Below are 20,616 nucleotides of genomic sequence, written 5' to 3' on the forward strand. Positions count from 1 at the left end.
CTACTGTCAGGCCTCTGAGCCCAGGCCAGGCCATCGCATCCCCTGTGACTGGCACGTATACATCCAGATGGCCTGAAGTAACTGAAGATCCACAAAAGAAGTAAAAACAGCCTTAACTGATGACATTCCACCATTGTGATTTGTTCCTGCCCCACCCTAACTGATCAATGTACTTTGTAGTCTCCCCCACCCTTAAGAAGGTTCTTTGTAATTCTCCCCACCCTTGAGAATGTACTTTGTGAGATCCACCCCTGCCCACCAGAGAGCAACCCCCTTTGACTGTAATTTTCCATTACCTTCCCAAATCCTATAAAACGGCCCCACCCGTATCTCCCTTCGCTGACTCTCTTTTCGGACTCAGCCGGCCTGCACCCAGGTGAAATAAACAGCCATGCTTCTCACACAAAGCCTGTTTGGTGGTCTCTTCACACAGACGCGCATGAAATTTGGTGCCGTGACTCGGATCGGGGGACCTCCCTTGGGAGGTCAATCCCCTGTCCTCCTGCTCTTTGCTCCGTGAGAAAGATCCACCTACCACCTCAGGTCCTCAGTCCAACCAGCCCAGGAAACATCCCACCAATTTCAAATCCGGTAAGCGGCCTCTTTTTACTCTCTTCTCCAACCTCCCTCACTATCCCTCAACCTCTTTCTCCTTTCAATCTTGGCGCCACATTTCAATCTCTCCCTTCTCTTAATTTCAATTCCTTTCATTTTCTGGTAGAGACAAAAGAGACATGTTTTATCCGTGAACCCAAAACTCCGGCGCCGGTCACGGACTGGGAAGGCAGCCTTCCCTTGGTGTTTAATCATTGCAGGGACGCCTCTCTGATTATACACTCACGTTTCAAGGGTGTCAGACCACGCAGGGACGCCCGCCTTGGTCCTTCACCCTTAGTGGCAAGTCCCGCTTTCCTGGGGCAGGGGCAAGTACCCCTCAACCCCTTCTCCTTCACCCTCAGTGGCAAGTCCCGCTTTCCTAGGGGGCAAGAAACCCCCAATCGCTTATTTCCGCACCCCAACCTCTTATATCTCTGCACCCCAATCCCTTATTTCCACACCCTGACCTCTTTGTGCCCCAATCCCTTACTTCCGTGCCCCAACCCCTTCTCTGCTTTTCTGGAGGGCGAGAACCCCCCACCCCTTCTCCGTGTCTCTACTCTTTTTTCTGGGCTTGCCTCCTTCACTATGGGTAAGCTTCCACCTTCCATTCCTCCTCCTTCTCCTTTAGCCTGTGTTCTCAAAAACTTAAAACCTCTTCAACTCACACCTGACCTAAAACCTAAATGCCTTATTTTCTTCTGCAATGCCGCTTGACTCCAATACAAGCTCGACAGTAGTTCCAAATAGCCGGAAAACGGCACTTTCAATTTTTCCATCCTACAAGATCTAAATAATTCTTGTCGTAAAATGGGCAAATGGTCTGAGGTGCCTGAAGTCCATCAGTCCCTTCCTACTCTCTGTGCCCAGTGCAACTCGTCCCAAATCTTCCTTCTTTCCCTCCCACCTGTCCCCTCAGTCCCAACCCCAAGCGTCGCTGAGTCTTTCTCATCTTCCTTTTCTACAGACCCATCTGACCTCTCCCCTCCTCGCCAGCCCAAGCTAAGTCCCAATTCTTCCTCAGCCTCTGCTCCTGCATCCTGTCATTTTTTTATCGCCTCCCCTCCTCACACCTGGTCCGGCTTACAGTTTCGTTCCGTGACTAGCCCTCCCCCTCCTGCCCAGCAATTTACTCTTAAAAAGGTGGCTGGAGCCAAAGGCATAGTCGAGGTTAATGCTCCTTTTTCTTTATCCCAAATCAGAAGCGTTTAGGCTCTTTTTCATCAAATATAAAAACCCAGCCCAGTTCATGACTTGTTTGGCAGTAACCCTGAGACACTTTACAGCCCTAGACCCTAAAAAGTCAAAAGGCCGTCTTATTCTCAAAATATATTTTATTACCCAATCTGCTCCCGACATTAAATAAAACTCCAAAAATTAAATTCCGGCCCTCAAACCCCACAACAGGACTTAATGAACCTCGCCTTCAAGGTGTACAATAATAGAAAAAAGTTGCAATTCCTTGCCTCCACTGTGAGACAAACCCCAGCCACATCTCCAGCACACAAGAACTTCCAAATGCCTGAACCGCAGCGGCCAGGCGTTCCTCCAGAACCTCCTCCCCCAGGAGCTTGCTACACGTGCCGGAAATCTGGCCACTGGGCCAAGGAATGCCCGCTGCCCGGGATTCCTCCTAAGCCGCGTCCCATCTGTGTGGGACCCCACTGAAAATCGGACTGTTCAACTCACCTGGCAGCCACTCCCAGAGCCCCTGGAACTCTGGCCCAAGGCTCTCTGACTGACTCCTTCCCAGATCTTCTCGGCTTAGCGGCTGAAGACTGACGCTGCCCGATCGCCTCGGAAGCCCCGTAGACCATCACGGACGCCGAGCTTCGGGTAACTCTCACAGTGGAAGGTAAGTCCGTCCCCTTCTTAATCAATACGGAGGCTACCCACTCCACATTATCTTCTTTTCAAGGGCCTGTTTCCCTTGCCTCCATAACTGTTGTGGGTATTGACGGCCAGGCTTCAAAACCCCTGAAAACTCCCCCACTCTGGTGCCAACTTAGACAACACTCTTTTATGCACTCTTTTTTAGTTATCCCCACCTGCCCAGTTCCCTTATTAGGCCGAGATACTTTAACCAAATTATCTGCTTCCCTGACTATTCCTGGACTACAGCCGCATCTCATTGCCGCCCTTCTCCCCAGCCCAAAGCTTCCTTCACGTCTTCCTCTCGTATCCCCCCACCTTAAGCCACAAGTATGGGACATCTCTACTCCTTCCCTGGCAACTGATCACATGCCCATTACCATCCCATTAAAACCTAATCACCCTTACCCCGCTCAACGCCAATATCCCATCCCACAGCATGCTTTAAAAGGATTAAAGCCTGTTATCACTCGCCTGCTATAGCATGGGCTTCTAAAACCTATAAACTCTCCTTACAATTCCCCCATTTTACCTGTCCGAAAACCGGATAAGTCTTACAGATTAGTTCAGGATCTGCGTCTTATCAACCAAATTGTTTTGCCATCCACCCTGTGGTGCCCAACCCGTACCCTCTTTTGTCCTCAATCCGTTCCTCCACAACTCACTATTCTGTTCTCCATCTTAAAGATGCTTTTTTCACTGTTCCCCTGCACCCCTCGTCCCAGCCTCTCTTTGCTTTCACTTAGACTGACCCTGACACCCATTAGGCTCAGCAAATTACCAAGGCTGTACTGCTGCAAAGCTTCACAGACAGCCCCCATTACTTCAATCAAGCACAAATTTCTTCCTCATCTGTTACCTATCTCGGCATAATTCTCAAAAACACACGTGCTTTCCCTGCCAATCGTGTCCGACTGACCTCTCAAACCCCAGCACCTACAAAACAACAACTCCTTTCCTTCCTAGGCATGGTTAGCGTGGTCGGAATTCTTACACAAGAGCCAGGACCACACCCTGTAGCCTTTCTGTCCAAACAACTTGACCTTACTGTTTTAACCTAGCCCTCATGTCTGCGTGCAGCGGCTGCTGCTGCTTTAATACTTTTAGAGGCCCTCAAAATCACAAACTTTATCAGTCCTCCAGGCCCAAGTTGACTCTTTAGCTGCAGTTGTCCTCCAAAACCACCGAGGCCTTGACTGACTTACTGCTGAAAAAGGAGGACTCTGCATATTCTTAAATGAGGAGTGTTGTTTTTACCTAAATCAATCTGGCCTGGTGTATGACAACATAAAAAAACTCAAGGATAGAGCCCAAAAACTTGCCAACCAAGAAAGTAATTACGCTGAACCCCCTTGGGCACTCTCTAATTGGATGTCCTGGGCCCTCCCAATTCTTAGTCCTTTAATACCCATTTTTCTCCTCCTTTTCTTCAGACCTTCTATCTTCCGTTTAGCTTCTCAGTTCATTGAAAACCGTATCCAGGCCATCACCAATCATTCTATACGACAAATGTTTCTTCTAACATCCCCACAATATCACCCCTTACCACAAGACCTCCCTTCAGCTTAATCTCTCCCACTCTAGGTTCCCACGCCGCCCCTAATCCCGCTCGAAGCAGCCCTGAGAAACATCGCCCGTTCTCTCTCCATACCACCCCCCAAAAATTTTCGCCGCTGCAACACTTCAACACTATTTTGTTTTATTTGTCTTATTAATATAAGAAGGCAGGAATGTCAGGCCTCTGAGCCCAGGCCAGGTCATCGCATCCCCTGTGACTTGCACGTATACATCCAGATGGCCTGAAGTAACTGCAGATCCACAAAAGAAGTAAAAACAGCCTTAACTGGTGATATTCCACCATTGTGATTTGTTCCTGCCCCACCCTAACTGATCAATGTACTTTGTAGTCTCCCCCACCCTTAAGAAGGTTCTTTGTAATTCTCCCCACTCTTGAGAATGTACTTTGTGAGATCCACCCCTGCCCACCAGAGAACAACCCCCTTTGACTGTAATTTTCCATTACCTTCCCAAATCCTATAAAACGGCCCCACCCCTATCTCCCTTCGCTGACTCTCTTTTCGGACTCAGCCGGCCTGCACCCAGGTGAAATAAACAGCCATGCTGCTCACACAAAGCCTGTTTGGTGGTCTCTTCACATGGACACGCATGAAACCTACTGTGTACTTTGCTTTCTTTGCTCTTGGTGATTCCCCAAAAAACTTATCTCAACATATAAGGATTTTTCTTTTCTTTTTTTTTTTTTGTTTGAGACGGAGTCTCGCTCTGTCGCCCAGGCTGGAGTACAGCGGCGCGATCTCGGCTCACTGCAAGCTCCGCCTCCCGGGTTCACGCCATTCTCCTGCCTCAGCCTCCGGAGTAGCTGGGACTACAGGCGCCCGCTGCCACGCCCGGCTAATTTTTTTGTATTTTTAGTAGAGATGGGTTTCACCGTGTTAGCCATAATGGTCTCAATCTCCTGACCTCATGATCCGCCTGCCTTGGCCTCCCAAAGTGCTGGGATTACAGGCGTGAGCCACCGCGCCCGGCTGTTTTTTTTTTTTTTTACTTGCCTTTTTCCAAATGAGAAAACCAAGGCTCAGAGAGGTCAGTGGTGCAATCTCGGCTCACAGCAACTTCCGCCTCCCGGGTTCAAGGGATTCTAGTGCCTCAGCCTCCCAAGTACCTGGGATCACAGGCATCCGCCATCACACCCAGCTAATTTTTGTATTTTTAGTAGAGACAGGGTTTCGCCATGTTGTCCAGGCTGGTCTCGAGCTCATGACCTCAGGTGATCCGCCCACCTTGGCATCCCAAACTGCTGGGGTAGGATTTTCTTTTTTACTTCCCTTTTTCCAAATGAGAAAACCAAGGCTCAGAGAGGAAGAGCGTGTTGCCCCAAGTGGCCCAGCAGAGCCACAGCCTTGCCCCCAGCAGCTCTGGCTCTAATGCATTCCAGACTCCTCCCATCAGCCAACTGCCTCCCATCCTCTAATAAACTTCTGAGAAGCGCTGGGCAGATGCAGTGGCGCCCACGCTCTTTATCTGCCCAGATCAGGCCGGCTCAGCAGAGCAGTCGATAATTAATTCTGAATTCTCCCCATTTATCACGGCGGCAGGAGCCAGAGTGCCTGGAATCCCAATCCCAAACCTCCGTGCCCCTTGGTCACCTGGACCAAGGCCCAGTGGTGGCAGGAACTATGGTGGAGAGGGGGCCTCATTGAGCCTGGGAAGGGAGCAAAGGTGTTCCTGGCTCCCCACCGCTCCCTGGCGCTGGGTTATTAAACGCTGTGTACTGCAGCAGTGACCAAACCAGACCTCTTCCCCGTCTTCATGGTGCCCACAGGCTAGTGGGGAAAACATACATTGAATGAATAATAATATAAATAATTAATGCTACAAAGGAAAAGAACAAGATGTTGTGAGAATACAAAACAACAGGAACATAACTTGTTTTGGGGGCCTCCCCAAGGAAGTGACATTGAACCTGCAAATCACAGGGTGAAAGGTGAAAGGTTGGGAGAGGGTATTTCATATACAGAAATAGCCCATGCAGGCTGGGTGCGGTGGCTCACAGCACTTTGGGAGGCCAAGGCGGGCGGATCACCTGAGGTCAGGAGTTGAAGACCAGCCTGGCCAACATGGTGAAACCCCGTCTCTACTAAAAATACAAAAATTAGCAGGGCATGGCGATGTGTGCCTGTAGTCCCAGCTACTCAGGAGGCTGAGACAGGATTCTCACCTCCTGGTTCGCTTGAACCCAGGAGGTGGAGGTTGCAGTGAGCTAAGATAGCGCCATTGCACTCCAGCCTGGGCAACAGAGCTAGACTCTGTCTCAAAAAAAGAAAAAAAAGAAAGAAAAGAAAAGAAATAGCCTGTGAAAAAAACCTTGTGGCTGGAGCCCAGCAAGGGGTTTAGTAGGTCTGAAGCTTAAAGCACAAGTGTGAGGTCAGTGCCAAGTCAGGGGACCTCAGGGCCAGGCCTGGAGCCCTCATAGTGAGGCCAGCAGCCTTCAGTGGATAGCCAGGGGCCACCAAGGAAAGAGATGGATAAGTTTCCGTGATGCTCCAAGGGGTGGTAGTGAGGCTGCTTCTGCCCCAGGTGCATCACCCTGCAAGGTCAGTGGTCGGCTCTGTGTTGTTTTTTTTTTTTTTTTTTGGTTTGTTTGTTTTTGAGACGGAGTCTCGCTCTGTTGCCAGGCTGGAGTGCGGTGGCGTGATCTTGGCTCACTGCAACCTCCGCCTCTCGGGTTCAAGCAATTCTGCCTCAGCCTCCCAAGTAGCTAGGACTACAGGCGCCTGCCACCACGCCTGGCTAATTTTTATATTTTTAGTAGAGACAGGGTTTAACCATGTCGGCCAGAATAGTCTCGATCTCTTGACTTCGTGATCTGCCCGCCTCAGCCTCCCAAAGTGCTGGGATTACAGGAGTGAGCCACTGCGCCTGGCCGGGTTTTTTTTTCTTTCTTATGACTGTTTTCCTTTTTGAGGGTTCTTTCAAATCCATTTGGGCACGGGGGTTAGTCAGGATTTGTCTGCCAGCAAACACCGAATGCCTGGCTATCCCAAACACTTCCCTTCTTGGGCAGGCAGGGAAACTGAGGCCCAGCGAGGGACAAAGAACACCCAAGGTCATTCAGAGGAAGGTTGTGTGTGGGAGAGGTTTCTGGGGAGTCTCAGGGGCCATGCGCTTGCCCTGCAGCTTCTGTGGCTTTTGTTGGGCCGTGAACTCCGTGGGGAGCTTGACTGGGTATCCTAGTCACCACGCTGTCCTCAGAGCCCTGCAAACTGGAGGTGCTTAATCAGTGATTGTGGAATGCATGATCCCAGCAGCTTCTGAAGACACCCCAGAGGTCATGCTTACGATATTGGAAGGAAAGGGGGTCTTTTTTTCTTTTTCTTTTTTTTTGAGATGGAGTCTTGCTCTGTTACTCAGGCTGGAGTGCAGTGGCACAATCTCGGCTCACTGCAAGCTCCGCCTCCCGGGTTCACGCCATTCTCCTGCCTTAGCCTCCCAAGTAGCTGGGACTACAGGTGTGCACCACCACCACGCCTGGCTATTTTTTTGTATTTTTAGTAGAGACAGGGTTTTGCCATGTTGCCCATGTCCAGGCTGGTCTCGAACTCCTAGCCTCCAGCAATCCTCTAGCCTTGACCTCCTAAAGTGCTAGGATTACAGGCATGAGCCACTGTGCCCAGCCAACTAATGTTTTCATTATTTATTTTTTAAATTTTAATGTTATATTTCTTAATTTTTTATTTTATTTTTATTTATTTATTTATTTATTTTTGAGATGGAGTCTTGCTCTGTCGCCCAGGCTGGAGTGTAGTGGCGCAATCTCGGCCCACTGCAAGCTCCACCTCCCGGGTTCACGCCATTCTCCTGCCTCAGCCTCTCGAGTAGCTGGGACTACAGGCACCCGCCACCACACCCAGCTAATTTTTCACTGTGTTAGCCAGGATGGTCTCAATCTCCTGACCTCGTGATCCGCCCGCCTCAGCCTCCCAAAGTGAGCCACCGCGCCCAGCCTATTTTTTCTTTTTTTTTTTTTTTCTAGAGACAGGGTCTCGTTCTGTCACCCAGTCTGGAGTGCAGTGGTATGGTTATAGCTCACCGTGGTCTCAAACTCCTGGGCTCAAGTGATCCTCCTGCCTCAGCCTCCCAAGTAGCTGGGACCACAGGGGCATGCCACCACACCTGGATAATTTTTAAATGCTTTTGTAAAGGCTGGGTCTCGCCATGTTTCCCAGGCTGGTTTCGAACTCCTAGGTTCAAGCAATCCTCCTGCCTCGGTCTCCCAAAGTGTTGGGATTATAGTCATGAGCCACTGAGCCTGGCCTAGGGAAAGAGGGGTCTTTTTCAATAGGAGATTTGAGAAAAAAATACAGAGACATGGAGAGAGACAGAGACTGAGATGCAGACGAACTGAGAAACGCAGAGAGAGAGATATTGAAGAGAGGGAGAGATAACGAGATACAAACAGAACCACAGACAGAAATGGAGCGACAGAGAGCAGATGAAAAAGAGGCCGGGCGCAGTGGCTGATGCCTGCAATCCCAGCACTTCGGGTGGCCGAGACGGGTAGATGGCTTGAGCCCAGGAGTTTGAGAACAGCCTGGGCAACATGGCGAAACCCCATCTCTACAAAAATTTAAAAATTAGCTGGGTGTGGTGGCGTGTGCCTAAAATCCCAGCTACTCAAGAGCCTGAGGCGGGAGGATCGCTTGAGCTGGGGAGGTTGAGGCTGCAGTGATCTGTGATTGTGCCACCGCACTCCAGCCTGGACAACAGAACAAGACCCTGTCTCAACAAAAATAAAATAAGAGACTGAGACACAGAGACAGATGAAGGGAGAGGAGAGAGAGAGAAAGAAAGATGGCAAGGTCAGAACCAGCACTAACTTGTATGGGAGCTGTTGGATGAATTACAAAGAAGGGCCCCTTCCTGGGGCCCTCTCACCTCTGCAGCTGGGTCCTCTTGTGCAGTGAACAACCTGCCCCACTGTCTGTGGCAGCCGGAGCAGCATCTGTCTTTATATCTCTCATTGAATGAATGCTCAGAGTTAGGAGAATGCCAGAGCCCAGCCTGGAGTCGCACAGAAAGAGAACAGAGAGATAGAGGCAGGGCAGGAAGGAAGTGGCAATTCCAGGTCCTGGCAGTTTCTGGCTAAACCGCTGACATCTCCTCTGGGAACCGCCTGGGCTCACTTGCCCCCTAGGAGAATTCCCTTGGACCTTCTTGGAGCACAAACTAGGTGGGCGGCCAAGACGGGAGGTGGCCCCTCCCCAGAACGCCGCGGGCCTTAGCGAGACGGCAGCTGCCAAGTCTCACCCGAAACTCCTCATAGCCCAGACTTGCTCAGGGTGGAGCCCAGAGTCTGAGAGGCCCTGGCGGGGAGCGAGCAGGATTCCCTGAGTTTCACAGCCCAGATATGGGAGGGGGCTGGCCTGGGGTCAACTGGAGTAACAGTGTCACCTGGAGTAACAGCGTCACCTGGAGTAACAGCATGTGCAAAGGCCTGGAGGGGAGTGAGAGGAAGGTAGAAGTAGAGCTCAGCCCAAAACCATAGATGGGGTAGAATGAAGCCCAAGAGAGCTCCAAGGCCAAGTTAGGAAGCTTAAACTCAATCTTGTTTTCAAACATGTAATCTTTTATTCAGTACACTCTCAAAACAGCATTTCTGTATCTAGTTCCAAGCTGGGTGATCCTGCGGCCCCAAAGGTAGTGATGACTCTGCTGGGAGGAGACACAGACCTCCCAGTTCAGTGGATCCCGAGTGAGTCAGAAGGTGAGACTGGAAGCAGCAGGGTCCTTGAGGGAAGTAGGCTCTCCTTGAAGGATAAGCAATGGCTGCATGAAGTAGCAGGTATTGAAGCTAGGGCTTTGAAGGATGAATAGGAGCTTGCCAAACAAAGAAGGTGGGACATGCAAACCAAGTGGAGGGACTGTGGCCCAAACTCAGGGATACATGGATGGAGTAGCAGGAGAAAAACAGACTGGGGGAGCAGGAAGAGTCAGTGTGAGCTTTCTCCAGATCCAAAATCAGCAGCCTGTCATTCAAGGCCAAGACATTCCACAATAGTTCCCCTTGGCCCTGTCAAGCCTATCAGGCCTGGAGCTTCCTCAAAGCAGCTCTGACAACTCCAGCCACTGTCATCTCCCCTCTTTGTGTCACGAGGACCATGCACTTTGGTGCATGGTGACATTCAGTGGGGGCTGCTTTCCTCGGTGTGGCTGTGGGACCTTAGGCCCATGCCTCAGTTTCCCAACCTGGAAAATGGGCTGCAGGAAGCCACTTTTGCAACTTATGTTTATCTCAGGCCAGGGAGGTCTTGGACAAATGATGTGAAGGAAGAAGAGAAAAATGGAAGATAGGGAGGGAGAGGAAAGGAAGGGGGCGAAGGAAGGGAGAACAGATGGGAAGGGAAGGGAAGGGAAGGGAAGACGGAGGAAGGAAAAGGCCGTGCACCTCCCGACCCAGGTCATCATCAAGGGACAGGTCCAACATTATTATTTCAGAACATGCCAGCGCTGTCGAGGCTTAAGAAATGGGTGGTGATTTGCATGCGATTTGCATGTGATTTGCATACTGTTTGTTAAATGTCAAAACACCCTGAAAATGCTTTCTCCCACCTCCACCCCCAGTGGAGAAGCGGGAAACCCTTCCCCACTTCCTCCACCAGCTCCCGGCATGGGTTGGGGACGCCTCAGTTCAGAGGGTGGTGACCTTGGGCAAGCCAAAAGCCATCTGTAAAATGGGCTGTTATCCTGGCCCCTGAGCAGTGAGGCTGTCAATCTTTTTTTTTTTTTTTTTTGAGACGGAGTCTCGCTCTGTCGCCCAGGCTGGAGTGCAGTGGCGTGATCTCAGCTCACTGCAACCTCTGCCTCCCGGGTTCCCGCCATTCTCCTGCCTCAGCCTACCAAGTAGCTGGGACTACAGGCGCCCGCCACCAGGCCCGGCTATTTTTTTTGTACTTTTAGTAGAGACGGGGTTTCACCGTGTTAGCCAGGATGGTCTCCATCTCCTGACCTCATGATCCGCCTGCCTCGTCCTCCCAAAGTGCTGGGATTACAGGCGTGAGCCACCGCGCCTGGCCGGCTGTCAATCAAGTGAGACAGGGCTCCAAAAAGATGTGCACAAGTCCTGGCATGGAGTAAGGACCAAGGAATGAAACTGGGGAGATTATTAAATGCCCCATTTTCTTGCCAAACCCTGACGAGGCATGTCCCTGAATATGCACAGGGAAATGAGGACAGAGGGGACCCAGGCTCTAGATACACGCATGTGGCCCAGCTGTTAGCAGAGGCCCAAACCACGCATGAGCAGGGATCTGGGCTGCCTCCCCCTGCTGTGTGTCCCTGACAACCTCCTTGGGCCTCAGGCTACCCTCTGCAGAACAGACAGCAGCAGACTCTGCTCTAGGAGGAGCTCCAGGGGGCACACAGTGGGTCTCTGGGGACAAAGTCCTGGGTTAGGCACCAAGGGGAGAGGTGGAGGGGGATAGGAAGACCCCCCTCCAGGCACACCCAGGGGCCAGCAAGACCCAAGTCATTCTGCAAAGCAGCTCCAGCAGGTCTGCCTGCCGGAGTGAAGTGGGGCTCCTCTCTCTTCCCCTCCTTCTCCCCCTCCTCTCAGCCAAGCGGGAATTGCAGGGTAGATGCCCGAAGTTTGGCAGATGCTCTGAAGGGAGGCGAGCAGGAGACCCCGGGCCAAGTGCTGTCCCCGAGCTAAGCAAACGCACAGTCTGGGCACGGCTGTCCCCGTGGTGGTGATTTACTATCCACCTGTCCATGCTCTGAGTCCTGCAGCCAACAGGACTCTTAACTAAAACATTATTTCTTCCCAGCCTCTGGCGCCTCCGCCCATGGTGCCTGGAGAGTGTACACGGCCCTCGAGGACATGCGTAGCCTCGGCACCCCCTCCCCAAAGACCCTCCCCAGGGGCTGCGCAACGATGACGTGGCTGCAGGTCAGAGGTGCAACGGAGGCCCGGCACACTGCCCTGAGGGTCTCCACCCGGAATTCCCACAACGCACTCCCTGCAATGCCCCGCGATGACCTCCCACAGCTAGGCCCAGTTCCCCACCCCCAGATCCTCGTCCTCTTGGCCAGAGTTCTTCAGAACCCCTTCCCCGCTGCCCCAAGACCCTATGCAAGACGAGGCATCCGGATTTAAGGGGAAGGGGGAAACAGCCCAGGGGGTGGGCACAGGTGCCTCCTGGGGAGGTATTTGGGGGTGGAAATGGGGCACAGTTGGAGGCCTGAGAAGGAGCTAGGATGTCCGCATCTCCCCGCTTAGTCATTGGAGAGTTCGGACACGACTGGCTGCACCCCCAGCCAGGGCTGTTCACTGCACAAAGGGCCTGTGGGGGCCCCAAAGAAGGCTAGGTGCTCTCTGGCTGGGAAGGAGGGAATCTGAGAAGACTTCCTGGAGGAGACTGCAATCCCAGGTGTATTGGAGCTGCAGAGAAGAGGTTGAAAAGTGCTCCAGGCAGGGGGCACGGCTTGGGCAAAGGTGTGGCTGGGAAAATGTCCTGGGCAAGAGCGGAAGTGCCTCTGAGTGTCTCTCCTGCCCCTTCTGTGCTTCTCTTCTTGCGATGCCCTCTGGCTGCCCATGGGAGCTTTCCAAGGTGGCACAGTGCTTTCCACTGAAGACAGGGCACCCAGGGCCCCAAGAGGGGAGCAACAACCTCAAAGTCACACAGCAGAGCTGAAAGGCTCAAGGCTCCCTCCCGATAGGCTGGGCAGGAGCAAAAATGTCCTAGGTCCTTGTCAGGGACTGGGGCTCCAGCAGGAGTGTCTGAAGCAGTGTGCATCAGCTGGTCAGGCCAGGGTTTCATGGTCCACCTGGGAGCCCAGACCCTGGAACAACAGGAGGGGAAGGGTAAACCCGTTTCAATCCAGGACCAGGGAAGGGTGAAACACCAGTTCTCCAGCCATTTGTCCTTTCCTTTTACCTAACATCCCTGACACGGACAGTGATCTGCAGTCATCCCCTCCTGTGGATGTCCCTTGTGTCCTTTAAGAGGAACAGGGATGGCCCCTGGTGAATTTGGCTGTTTTCTTTTTTCTTTCTTTTTTTTGAGACAGAGTCCTGCTCTGTCGCCAGGCTGGAGTGCAATGGCGTGATTTCGGCTCACTGTAACCTCTGACTCCTGGGTTCAAGCGATTCTCTTGGAACTTGGCTGTTTTCTGCCACCTGATGGCAGTCACAGGAATTGCAGGCAAAGAGTGCAGTAAAGCCAAATCAAAGCTCAATCCTTTATTGTAAGGAGACAGGTAACAGAGCCCAGAGAGGAGAAGCAATTTTCCCAAGGTCACCCAGCAAGTCAGGGGCAACACGGCTCTGGTCCACGTGTTAGTCCAAAAAGAAATGAGACACCAAGGCCATGTCCCTACCCTAGAGGCCAGAAGCATAAGTGTATGGAGGGGGATGATGGTCAATAACATCTGTCTCTTCTCCTCTCTGGGCCTCAGTTTCCCCATCTATGGTCTCCACAATCTCTAAGGTCCTTTCTCTTTCTCAACTACTACAATTACTTACCTGGAGTGAGATCTAGGCTCCCGGGAGGCAGGAGAAGTGCCTTCCAAAAGTGCCCTCTACCCCAGCCTATTCCTTCAGCCAGTACCCAGGTCCCCTTGGTCATGGCTCTGCCTCCTCCAACCCAGACTACCTGAAAGAGGGAGACAGAAAGACACAGGTTGCAGAAAAAACATAGCCCTTGCCTTGGCGTTCAAGGCTTCCCTATTCTGCCCACTGTCTGGCTGGTGCCTCTTCCTGCCCCTGCCAGGGCTCACCTCTGACCCAGAAATTCCCTCCCCTGCATCCAGGCACCGCTAGAGCTCCAGAAAAATATTCTGAGCAGCCCAATCCTTGCCTCTGCTCACGATTATGTTAGTGAGACAATACATCTCACTAACATTTATTAAGCACCTACTATGTGCCAGGCACTGAACTGGCAATCCAGCAGGGAACAAGATGGACGGCAGTACCCTCACAGAGTTTACAGTCTACTGCAGGAGACAGGTGAAAAAAATAAGTAAAACGTAGAGAAGTCGGCTGCTGACAAGTGATGGGGAAAGAGAGAAAGCAGGGATGGCGTGAAATAAAATTTTATTATTTATTTCTTTAGAGACGGAGTTTCACCCTGTCACCCAGACTAGAGTGTAATGGCACGATCTCAGCTCACTGCAACCTCCGCCTCCCAGACTCAAGCGATTCTCTTGCCTCAGCCTCCCCAGTAGCTGGGATTACAGGCATGCGCCATCATGCCCGGCTAATTTTTGTAGTTTTAGTAGAGATGGGGTTTCACCATGTTGGCCAGGCTGGTCTTGAACTCCTGGACTCAAGTGATCTGCTTGCCTCAGCCTCCCAAAGTGCTGGGATTGCGGGTGTGAGCCGCTGCGCCTCGCTGGAATGCAATTTTAAACAGGATGGTCAGGGAGGGCTGCAGGAAGAGAGGGAGTTGGGGACCTGAGGGAACAGCATTCCAGGCTGAAGGAACAGCCTGTCCAGAGGCTCTGAGGCAGCGAGGAGGCCTGTGTGGCTGGAGCAGAGTGAGGAAGGGGAAGAGAGGGAGGAGGAGCAAGCAGGGAGGGAATACAGCAGGTCATCCAGGGTCTTGCAAGCCTCAGGAAGGACTTGGGCTTTGACCCTGAGGGAGGTGGGAGCCATGGAGGGCTGCCGGCAGAGGAGGGACACGCCCCGACTCAGGGGCTCACAGGCGCCCTCTGGCACCTGCTACGGGGAGGACAGACTTGTAGGGGACAAGGGCAGGGGCTGCGGACCTTGGTGGGGGGCAACTGGGCTGGGCCAGGGGTTGAGAAGTGGGAGGATTATGGTTAGACTTTGAAGGCGGAGCTGATGGAACCAGCTGAAGGACAGATAGAGGGGCTTGGGAGGAAGAGAGGAATAGACTGATGTCAATAAAATCAGAATAATAACAACTGTTCCCACTAATGGAGCAGGGAGAAGGTTTAGTGATGAAGGGCGTGGCTTTAAAGCTGGGTTTAGACCCTGGCTCTGCCCCTTCCCAGCTTAATCTTACTCTGCCTCAGCTTCTCCACCTGTAAACCGCCAATGATAACGGCACCCGGCCAGGCACGGTGGCTCACGCGTGTAATCCCAGCACTTTGGGAGGCTGAGGTAGGCAGATCACCTGAGGTTAGGAGTTTGAGACCAGCCTGGCCAACATGGTGAAACGGTCTCTACTAAAAATACAAAAAAATTAGCCAGGCATGGTGGCGGGCGCCTGTAATCCCAGCTACTCAGGAGACTGAGGCAGGAGAATCGCTTGAACCCGGGAGGCAGAGGTTGCAGTGAGCCGAGATTGCGCCACTGCACTCCAGCCTGGGCGACAGAGCAAGACTCCCGTCTCAAAAATAATAAATAATAAATAAATAAAAGCATCCTCGCCAGGGGACAGCGGTAAGGCCACGTGAAAAGCCCCTAGCATCTCAAAGGCTCTCAAAGCATGACCATGACTCAGTGCCTGCTAGCTCCCGTGACAACCTGTCTCCCTGCAACGCTGCTGCCTCGAGGCAGAAAATGTTGTCACTACTGCATTTCACAGAGTGTAGAAACAGGAGGTGGCAAGAGAGGCTGGGGGAGGGAGAAGAGGGGGCCCTATCTACCCGGAAGTGAGAGAGGGCCTGGCAGGTTTGTCCCGAGCAGCCCACGCAGCTTCTCTCTCCCTAGGGTACCGTCTGCGCTGACAGGTCCCAAGTGTTTTTCTCATTTCTCACATGGGGAAGCTGAGGCCTCCCCGGCTGCTGCTGCACCATCCACTAGTAGCCCCTGCTCTGCCTCTAGAGGTCTGGGAGTGGTCTGGGGAGCTCAGAACCCATTTGATGCCCAGAGAGGGTGGGTTAGCTGCCTCGGGACACACAGCCAGTGAACAGCAAAGGCAGATAGGGGCCCCTGTCTGTTGGGGAAGACAAAGCTGGACTCTGCCATCAACCCCAGCTGTGTGTGTGGTCAGGGATGGGCAAGGGGCAGGGCATTAGGACAGGGTGGGAGCCCAGAGGAGGTTGAAACTCTCTCTTTTTTCTTTTGTTTTGAGACGGAGTCTCACTCTGTTGTCCAGGCTGGAGTGCAGAGGCACGATCTCAGCTCACTGCAACCTCCGCCTCCAGGTTCAAGCGATTCTCCTGCCTCAGCCTCCCAAGTAGCTGGGATTACAGGCGTATATCACTATGCCTGGCTAATGTTTGTATTTTTAGTAGAGACAGCGTTTCGCCATGTTGGCCAGGCTGGTCTCGAACTCTTGACTTCAGGTGATCCGCCCACCTTGGCCCCCCAAAGTGCTGGGATTGCAGGTGTGAACCATTGCGCCCAGCCAAAACTGTCTCCTCTGAAGGCTTCTGTTCTCTGCCTCCAGCATGGCTCACTGGGACCTCACCCTGGTCTCCTGTCTCCAGCCCTCCCCCCATCACAGTCTGTTCTCCCCGCTGCAGCCAGGGGTTGCCTGTGAGCATTGAGTCAGGTCCCGTCCCTCCTCTGCCCACAGCCCTCTATGGCTCCCACCTCCCTCGGAGTCAAGGCCCAAGTCCTCCCTGCAGTCCGCAAGGCCCTGCATGAACTGCCCTGGCCCCTCCCTGCCCTCCCTTCCTCCCTCTCTCCCCCTTGCTCCAGCCACACGGGCCTCCTCGCTGTTCCTCCAACATGCCAGGTGCAGTCCTGCCTCAGGGCCTTTGCACAGGCTGTTCCTACTGCCTGGAACACCCTTCCCTGACTCTCTGTTTAACCACCTCCTCCACATCATAGCCTGACATGTCACCTTTCCGGAGAGGCGTCCCCCAGTCACTGATCCCTCTCCACCTTCCCTGCATCCCCCACAGCGCCAATTGCGAGTTGACATTCTCCTGTGCTATTATTTGGCTCTAGGCTCTGTGAAGGCGAAATCTGGTCTCTCTGGGTCACTGCTGAATTTCAGTGTCCAGCATGGAGTCTGGCACACAGTAGGCACACAATAAATGCTGACTCTGTACTGCATAATTACAGTCTGGACGTCTGAGGGTCGTCCAGCCCCCAGACCTCATAGAAGGTACGCTGCCGAGAACACCCTCTCCTAGCCCCAAGCTCTGAACCTCCATCCCTCATCATCCTCTCAGCCTCCCCGTCCCCGCTAAGATCTTCCCTCAAGAGGGCCTGGGGAGGGGGCCTCTCCTGCCCCCATTGCAGCCCCAGACTCCTGCAACGGGGTGGCATCTGAGGCTCCTGCCCTCAAAACATCAACCCAGGCTCGGTGACTCAAGCCTCTAGAGGGCTGGTGAATGTGACCCCCATAAAATCCAGGGTAATTCACATGGCCCCCGTCCCTCTCCTGTTCAATGCTTCCAAGGAGGTGGTCCCAGGCTCTGAGACGAGGCCCCACCATCTTCACCACCTCTCGGCCATCCTCGACCCATTTCCCAGAGCTGCCCCAGGCCGGCAGTGAGCTGTTCCCGTGGCCCCAGCGCCCTTCTCTGCAGACCCCTCCTTGGGCCAGAAGACGCCCCACTTGAGGGTCGTCTTGGCCAGGGGACCTCTTTGGGGACCCAGATATCCAAGTGTGAGTGTGGGTAACGGACACTGGAGTGGGGCTGTGGGAAAGATAAGGCGGTAGGGAGAGACCAGAGAAGGAAGAGAGAGACAGAGCTTCAGAGACAGAGAAAAACAGCAGAGAAAAATGCAGAGACACCAGAGAGATAAAGAGACACAGACACACATGTTGAGACACAGCGAGAAAAAGAGCAGAGACCAAAATAACAGAGACAGAGACACAGAGAGAGAAATACACAGCGGGAAGAGACAGAAATGGACAGAGACACGCAGAGAAACAGAGAGACAAAAGAGACACACAGAGAGAAAAAGAGCAGAGACAGAAATGGAGAGAGACAGAGAAAGAGAGACAGAAATGGAGAGACACACAGAGGAAAGAAAGCAGAGACCAAAATGGGCAGAGACACAGAGAGAGACAGAGACAAAAGAGACAGAGACTCACAGAGACACAGAGAGAGATGCGCGCACACACAGACAGAACTGGACAGGGACACAGAGACAGAGACACAGAGAGACAGAGAGAAAAACAGCAGAGACAGAGACAAATGGACAAAGAGACAGAGAGACAGGGAGAGAGAGACACACACATACACAGACACAGAGAAAAACAGAGACAAAAATGGACAAAGAGACAAAAGAGACAGACACAGAGAGACACAAGGAGAAAAACAGCAGAGACAGAAATGGGCAGAGACACAAAGAGACAAAGGGGAAGAGAGACAGAGACACACACACAGAGGAAAAAAGCAGAGACCAAAATGGGGAGACAGAGACCAGAGAGGGAGACAGAAAAGAGAGAGGGAGACAGAGATGAGGGAGAAACAGGGAGGAAAACAGCAGAGAGAGAAGTGGGCAGAGACACAGAGTGACAGAGAAAAGAGAGACAGAGACAGAGACAATCACAGGCAACCAAATCATCAGGGAAAGAAATAAACAGAGGCAGAGATGGAGAGAGACACACAGAGAGGAAAAAACAGAGACCAAAATGGAGAGAGAGACAGAGACAAAGACAAAAGAGAGAGAGGTGAGGAGACAAAGATGAGAGACGCAGAGATAAAAGAGACAGAGACAAGAGACAGAAACAAGAGGGAGACAGAGATAAGAGATGGAGATGAGACAGCCACAAAAGAGATGAGAGAGACAAAGATGAAAGAGACAGAGATAAAAGAGAGACACAGACAAAAGAGAGAGATGAAAGAGACAAAGAGAGGCACAGAGATAAGAGTCAGAGACAAGAGACAGAAAGAAGAGGGAGAGAGATGAGAGACAGAGACAAAAGAAGAAGAGACAGAGATGAGAGACAGAGACGAGAGAGTGACAAAGATGAGAGTGACAGAGACAAAAGAGAGAGAGGCAGAAAAACAGCAGAGACAGAAACAGGCAGAGAAACAGGCACAGACAGAGAGCCCGAAAGCAAGACCTGACACCGGCAAGGCCGGGTCAGGAGAGAGGCCGGGCGGGCAGCGCGAGGTGGGAAAGCAGTGCCGGCCCGGGAGGCCGCCTTGGGCGCCCGCCTCCCCCGCCGCTCTCCAGGGGTCCCCGGCCGCCGCCCCCGCCCCACCCCACCCCGAGCCCCGCGGCCACCTGGGGTCGCTGACGAGCAGCAGCACCGAGCCGTCCTGCAGGCGCGCGTCGCGCACCGTCTGGTGGTCGTCCAGCCGCCGCGCGTTGTAGTAGAAGGCGCGCTTCCAGGAGCTCACGCCCTGGCCCACCAGCTGGGCGCGCAGGTCGCTGAGCGTGTCCCGCGGCCGCACGGTCAGCGGTAGCAGCAGCGCCTCGTCCGCCAGGTGCACCTTGATGTGGTAGCGCTTCCAGCGCGACAGCCCCCGCCGCAGCCCCTCCATGGCGCCCGCCCGGCTCCGGCTCCAGCTCTGGCCCCGGGCCCCGAGCGCCCCGCGCACCCGCCCGACTAGCCTGGCCGCCCGCCCCCGCCGCGCCCGCGCTCCGCCCGCCCGGACACGCCCGGCACGCAGTGGGCAGGCCCGGCCCGGCGGGGCGGGGCGGGTGCCACGGTCCCCTCAGGCGTCCGCTCCCCACTGCTGGCCCCAGAGTGCGCCCGGGGGTCTAGAGGCGGAGTGGCCACTCAGCACAGAGCCATCAGCGAGGTCATCCCAGCCAAGGAGACGCGCGAATGTCCAGGGGGTTACATGGTGGAGGCTCCAGGGAGGGAGGCTGGGAGGCCACTTTATTTGATCTTTTTAAGGACAGGCTGGAGCGCAGTGGCGCAATCATGGTTCGTTGCAGCCTTGACCTCCCGGGCTCAAGCGATCCTCCCGCCTCAGCCTCTCAAGTAGCTGGGACTACAGGCGCTGCCACCAAGCCCAGCTCACTTTTGTAGTTTTTGTAGAGATGGGGCCTGGCCGTGTTGCCCAGGCTGGTTTTGAACTCCTGACGTCAAGTGATTCTCCGCCTTGGCCTCCCAAAGCGGTGGGATTATAACCCTCAGCCACCACGCTCAGCCTACATTAAAAAAAAAATTTACTTTTAGGCCAGGTGCGGTGGCTCATGCCTGGAATCCCAGCACTTTGGGAGACTGAGGTGGGCGGATCACATGAGGTCAGGAGTTCGAGACCAACCTGGCCAACATGGTGAAACCCCGTCTCTACTATAAGTACAAAAATTAGCCAGGCGTGGTGGCACATGCCTGTAGTTCCAGCTACTCAGGAGGCTGAGGCAGAAGAATCGCTTGAACCCGCAGACAGAGGTTGCAGTGAGCCGAGATTGTGCCACTGCACTCCAGCCTGAGCCACAGAGCGAGACTTATCGCAAAAAAAAAAAAAAAAAAAAAAAAAAAAAAAATGGCCGGGTGTGGTGGCTCACGCCTGTAATCCCAGTACTTTGGGAGGCCCAGGTGGGCAGATCACAAGGTCAGGAGATCGAGACCATCCTGGCTAACGCGGTGAAACCCCCCCGTCTCTACCAAAAATACAAAAAATTAGCCGGGCGTGGTGGCGGGCGCCTGTAGTCCCAGCTACTCCGGAGGCTGAGGCAAGAGAATGGCGTGAACCTGGGAGGCGGAGCTTGCAGTGAGCCGAGATCGTGCGCCACTGCATTCCAGCCTGGGAGACACAGCGAGACTCCGTCTCAAAAAAAAAAAAAAAAAAGAA

The 20,616-nt window shown here is 53.3% G+C and overlaps 1 protein-coding gene across 2 annotated transcripts, besides 1 other annotated feature; it reads right to left on the reverse strand.

Moving 5' to 3' along the window:
* Positions 1-9,595: 9,595 nt before the first annotated feature.
* TINCR (TINCR ubiquitin domain containing) lies at positions 9,596-19,382 on the reverse strand. Of its 2 annotated transcripts, NM_001396408.1 has the most exons (3): positions 19,094-19,382; positions 13,511-13,640; positions 9,596-12,828 (listed from the first exon to the last, which is right to left on the reverse strand). In NM_001396408.1, the coding sequence occupies exons 1-2, from the start codon at positions 19,351-19,353 to the stop codon at positions 13,637-13,639; spliced, it is 264 nt and encodes an 87-aa protein (NP_001383337.1). In that variant the 5' UTR covers positions 19,354-19,382; the 3' UTR covers positions 9,596-12,828; positions 13,511-13,636. The 2 variants fall into 2 exon arrangements, with proteins under 2 accessions (NP_001383337.1, NP_001383338.1); NM_001396409.1 differs by lacking the exons at positions 9,596-12,828; positions 13,511-13,640 and adding an exon at positions 14,064-14,378.
* Positions 11,974-12,770: an enhancer, noted in NCBI's record as "H3K4me1 hESC enhancer chr19:5560556-5561352 (GRCh37/hg19 assembly coordinates)". NCBI's record gives its function as "activates a minimal SCP1, AML or CMV promoter by ChIP-STARR-seq in naive H9 embryonic stem cells {active_cell/tissue: H9 hESC(naive)}" and the evidence as "EXISTENCE:reporter gene assay evidence [ECO:0000049][PMID:30033119]".
* Positions 19,383-20,616: the final 1,234 nt, after the last annotated feature.

Source organism: Homo sapiens, chromosome 19 (assembly GCF_000001405.40).
Source record: "Homo sapiens chromosome 19, GRCh38.p14 Primary Assembly".
Lineage (NCBI taxonomy): Eukaryota > Metazoa > Chordata > Mammalia > Primates > Hominidae > Homo > Homo sapiens.